Source organism: Homo sapiens, chromosome 19 (assembly GCF_000001405.40).
Source record: "Homo sapiens chromosome 19, GRCh38.p14 Primary Assembly".
NCBI classification, from domain to species: Eukaryota; Metazoa; Chordata; class Mammalia; order Primates; family Hominidae; genus Homo; species Homo sapiens.
In genome coordinates, this window is record NC_000019.10 from 35469459 (window position 1) to 35475275 (window position 5817).

The 5817-nt window shown below is 44.7% G+C and overlaps 1 annotated feature.

Annotated features, from left to right (window-relative positions):
* Positions 1391 to 1964: an enhancer, noted in NCBI's record as "OCT4-NANOG-H3K27ac-H3K4me1 hESC enhancer chr19:35961751-35962324 (GRCh37/hg19 assembly coordinates)". NCBI's record gives its function as "activates a minimal SCP1, AML or CMV promoter by ChIP-STARR-seq in naive H9 embryonic stem cells {active_cell/tissue: H9 hESC(naive)}" and the evidence as "EXISTENCE:reporter gene assay evidence [ECO:0000049][PMID:30033119]".

Sequence of the window (5817 nt, forward strand, 5' to 3'; positions counted from 1 at the left end):
TAAAACAGTACTGTCTATAATCTTAAAATCAGTATAGTTATGTGTCACTTAACAATGGGGATATGTTCTGACAAATACAGGCAATTTTGTCGTTATGCAAACATCACAGAGTGTACTTACACACACCTAGATGGGATGGCCTACTGCACACCTAGGCTATAATGGTATGGCCTATTGCTCCTATGCTACAAACCATGGTACTGTACTGAATATTGCAGGCAACTGGAGCACAACAGTATTTGTGTATCTCAACATAGAAAAGGTAATGCATTGTGCTATGATGTTACAGCAGCTACAATGTCAGTAGGTGACAGGAATTTTTCAGCTCCATTCTAATCATATGGGACCACCATTGTATATATACGCAGTCTGTCAATGACCAGAACGTTGTTATGTGGTGCATGACTATATATATATATAATAATAGCAGCTGAGTGTTTTTGAGACCTTCATACATGTGAGCACAGAGCTAACCTCTCTGCATGCACCGTTCAATGAATTCTTACCAAAGCACAGGGACATAGGTATTGCCATGACTTTTCTTTTTACAAAAAGGGAAATTGGCCAGGCACATGGCTCATGCCTGTAATCCCAACACTTGGGGAGGATCACTCGAGCCCAGGAGTTCAAGACCAGCTTGGGCAACATGGTGAAACCCTGTCTCTACAAAATATAAAAAAGATTAGCCAGGCATGGTGGCATGTACCTGTGGTCCCAGCTACTCAGAAGACTAAGGTGGGAGGATGGAGGCTACAGCGAGTTGAGATCGAGTCACTGCACTCCAGCCTGGGCAACAGACTGAGACTTTGTCTCCAAAAAACAAAACAAACAAACAAAAAAAAGGAACTGAGACTTAGAGCGATTGTGGAATAACTTGTCCTATATCTCACAGCAAATAAGTGGCAGGGCAGGACTAGAACCTGGATCTGTATGACTCCGGAGTCTGAATTCTCAGCCTCTGCTAGGAAAGCATGGATGTGTACACATGTACGTGAAATTCGCAAAGGCTACGTGACAGTCAACAATGGTTACTTAGGAAATTGGGAGGAGGGAAGGTAGGTCAACTTTCTTTCTTTTTTTTTTCATTAAAAAATTTGTTTTTTAGTGACAGAGTGAGACTGTCACTAAAAAACAGTCTGGAGTGCAGTGGCACAATCATACCTTACTGCAGCCTGGAACTCTTGACCTCAAGCAATTGTTTTGCCTCAGCCTCCCAAAATGCTGGGATTACAGGCATGAGCCACTGCACCCGGCCTCATTTTCTGCTTTACATAATTCTGTACTGTTTACATTTTTCCCATGAGCATATATTATTTCATAATAAACACATAAAGCCTGGTTTTAAGTTGATTCTGCTGAGGACTAAGCTCTGATTTTTTATCCTGCCCAAATTCCTATCTAAGGGGCCCAGAGAATCGTGCCCTAAAAACCATAAATTCTCATCAGTTGGGTTTTATTTAACCCTATATATCGTGACTTACTTTCCAGTCTTACTGTGGCATAACGTTACTTGATAAAGAAGAAAGTCAAAATATTTTACTCCAAAATCATATTTTGAAGTGGCCCTGCAAAGCTGTCCTTTGTGGGGAAAATTTGCATCTGTAAAGAATCTCTATCAACATAGCTAGATCTTTTTCTTCCAGGCCCTCCCAATCCTGAAGAGATTAACTAAGAGTCTAGCACCTTTTAAAGATCTGAATAGGAAACATTTGTCATCTATTGTCTCTAAGGGCAGCCACTGTAAGACTTCAAAAGAACCTTGGTCTCCACAATCTTTTAACCTGAACATATCCTTTCTGTCAATCCCAGGTCTTTAGACAAACTCAATCAATTGTCAACCAGCAAATGTTTAAATTTACCTATAGCCTGGAAGCCCTGCCCCACTTTGAATTGTCCCATCTTTCTGGACCAAACCAATTAATTTCTTAAATGTATTTGAGGCCAGGCATTGTGGCTCACGCCTGTAATCCCAGCACTTTGCGAGGCCAAGGCGGGCAGATCACGAGGTCAGGAGATTGAGATCATCCTGGCTAACATGGCAAAACCCCGTCTCTACTAAAAATACAAAAAAAAAAAATTAGCCAGGTGTGGTGGCGGGCGCCTGTAGTCCCAACTATTCGGGACGCTGGGGCAGGAGAATGGCGTGAACCTAGGAGGCGAGGCTTGCAGTGAGCCGAGATCGCGCCACTGCACTCCAGCCCGGGGGACAGAGCGAGACTCCGTCTCAAAAGAAAAAAAAAATGTATTTGATTGATGTTTCATGCCTACCTAAAATTATAAAACCAAGCTGCACCCTGACCACCTTGGGCAAATGTTCTCAGGACCTCCTGGGGGCTGTGTCACGGGGCCATGGTCACTCATAATAAATCTCTTCAAAATATTTTACAGTTTGACTCTTTTCATCAACACTGTTCACCAAACATACACAGAGAAGAAAACTCAAATTACTCTAGCGTTTAGGTCCTGTTAACTGACCAACTACTGTGAGCTACACTGAGGGCTAAGCACTTCACGTCCAGGACGTCACTGAATCCTCACAACTGGGTCTGGAGGGAGGGTATTTTCATTAACTCCCTTCACAGAGGAGGACCCTGAGGCTCAGGAATGTGAAGTGACCTCCCTAAGGTCACATAACAACTTAGGAACTCAACTTAGGCCTGACTGGTTCCTGAGCCCATGCGTGTAGCTACATCAGTATGTTAGCGGCGCAGGAATGATGACAATGATAATAACAGCAGTTTACGTGCTTGCTATGTGGCAGCCCTGTGCATTTCATGTATAATCTCATCACATCTCCATGGCAATCCCCGTTTTACAGAAGAGGAAACTGAGCGTCAGCAGAGAGAAGTCACTTGTTTGCCCAGGGTCATCCAGCAGAATTGAGACTAGAACCCAAACCACCGGCATCCATCCAGTGGCTCAGGCCAAAATCTCAGTAGCCATCCTTGACTCCTCCTTCTTCTTCCTCCATATCTAATCCATTGGTTCTAGTTGGCTTCAGTTTTCAAAATACATGTTCACTTCTCACTATCTGACTACTGCAGGCCCCATGGAAGCCACCGCCGTCTCTCTTCCAGGCCAGTTTGAAAGACTTCCTACTGAACGCCCTCCCTCCATTCCTGCCTCTTGCCCCCACCCCATCCACTCTCTACATTGCAGTCAGAGTGATCTTTTTCAACTCTTTTGCTAAATATCTCTCCTGCAACCTTTCTTAGGGTTTTGGGAGACAATTAAGCTCTGCAGAGAATGGTTTGAGTGATTGTTTTCTTGATTTTCCCAAGGATGCTACTAGCTAATACCATTACTTACTACAGTAGGAGATAACTTAATTCATTACATGCAATGGATGCCTTAGAGTCTTAGGGCTTAAGTCTACCGGGAACTGGGTGGAGACAGCTGCAAAAGTTTCCTGTCACATTTCAAATACCAGTGACCATGGCCTACAAGGCCCCTGTGACCTGCCACCCACCACACCTTGACCTCTGCAGGTACATTTCCAACTACCCTTTTCCCAAGCACAAGACCTCTTCTCCCTACCTCAATCATAGAAGTCTCATTGCTGCCTTAGAGCTTTTGCAGGGGTTGTTCCCACAACCTTGAGCCCTGCCCAAGCCATCCAGAGCCTGCTCCTTTTGTCAGTCATTCAGGGCTCAGTTCAAAGACCACCAGCTCAGAGGGGCCCTCTCGGCCACCTGAATTAAATGCTGCCAATTCCTGCTGTTTTATTTCCTTTATGGCACTTATTTATCATAATCTGAAAGTACCTTTGCTTGTTCACTCAACTGTTGTGTGTCTCCCAAGTTAAGGCTGAGCTCCATGGGGCAGAAACCTTTTCACAGGGAAGCAATCTGTAAAAATATGTTTAGAGAATCCATCAGATATCTATTATGAGCCAGTCACTGGGTTAGGAGCTTTGCAATGAATCCTTTTTATCAACCCCAACATTGTCCAATAGATATACAATATAAGCCAAGGCCAGGCACAGTGGCTCATGCCTGTAATCCCAGCAATTTGGGAGGTTGAGGCAAGAATGACCCTTGAGGTCACCAGTTCGAGATCAGCCTGGACAACATAGCAAGACTCTGTCTCTACAAAAATTAAAAGGGGCCGGGGGTGGTGGCTCACGCCTGTAATCCCAGCAATCTGGGAGGCCAAAGCAGGTGGATCACCTGAAGTCAGGAGTTTGAGACCAGCCTGACCAACATGGTGAAACCCCATCTTTACTAAAAATACAAACATTAGCTGGGCGTGGTGGCTGGCGCTCGTAATCTCAGCTACTCAGGAGGCTGAGACAGGAGAATCACTTGAACCCAGGAGGTGGAGGTTACAGTGAGCAGAGATGGTACCATTGCACTCCAGCCTGGGTGTCAAGAGCGAAACTCTGTCTCAAAAAAATAAAAAAAAATAAAATAACTTTAAAAAATTAAAAGAAAGAAATGTAATGTAAGCTATTTTTTAAAAAATCCAAGCCTCTTGGATTCAAGCGATTCTCCTGCCTCAGCCTCCCGAGTAGCTCCAGGCACCATTTAAAAATTTTTAATTGTCTAATAATCAAATTAAAAGAAGTAAAAAGAAACAGACGAAATTAATATATTTTATTTAAACCAACATGTTCAGAGGATTATCATCCCAACATGTAATTGGTTAATAAAGATATGAATAGATGACAGATGGATGGATTGGGGTGTGTATGTGTGCATGTGAGCTCCTCCTCTATACCTTTTCTGGGTTCTGAGAAGCTCAGCGGCTTCGTCGCTATTCGGGGACTCACGGGCTTGCCCTTCAAGACCCAGCCTCAAAGCCCCAGACACTGCATCTCTGCTTTCCCGCCTTTTCTGTACCTGTCTCCATGTGGTGCTCCCTTCAGGGCCTGCACACAGGGAAGGGAGGGCCGTCCTCCCGCGAGGCCTCAAGGTGCCTATCGGTGCAGTGGCTCAAACAAAACAGGTGTGACAAAAGGCCAGGAATGCCTCCCAGGGGCTGAGGCACCTCAGGGAGCGTGTTAGAAGAAGTGGACGGTAAAAAGAGAGCGTCCGGGCCAGGAGCGGTGGCTCATGCCTGTAATCCCAACACTTTGGGAGGCCGAGGTGAGTGGATCACTTGAGGTCAGGAGTTCGAGACCAGCCTGACCAACATGGAAAAACCCTGTCTCTACTAAAAATACAAAATTAGCCGGGCATGGTGGTGCATGCCTGTAATCCCAGCTACTCAGGAGGCTGAGGCAGGAGAATCGCTTGAACCCGGGAGTTGAGATTGCACCATTGCACTCCAGCCTGGGCAACAAGAGTGAAATTCCATCTCAAAAAAAAAAAAGAGCGTCCAGAACCAGGACGCATGCGCACATTAGCCCCGACTGGAAGTGCATGAGGACAGAAGGGAAGCAGAAGTTGGGGCTGAGGTGTTCCTGCTGAGAAGAGTGATGGATGTAAATTTTGAAGCTCTGGATCCTGCCCACACCATGGAGCCAAGAGGACCAGAGGAGTCAGCATTGAACTGGAAATCAAGTTGGAACTGAAAATTGACTTATCCACAAATAGTAAGAACTGTGAATTTGGGCCTCAAGGAGAGGAAATTTTATTCCTAGGCAGGGTCTTCTTGGGAAGGCAGCCGGACAAGGCTTCTCTGAAGTCCAGTAAGGTTTTGGGAGGTTTCATTGAGAAACTGAATACTGAGAATGAAATGCTGAGAAATGAACAGATGCAACAGCAAAATTTTTTCCAAAAATTGTGCTGTGTTCTAAATATTTACATTGAATGAATGATACAAAAATATACTCAGGTCAATACAGTTGTGCAGATGATCGGATTTATAAGAAAT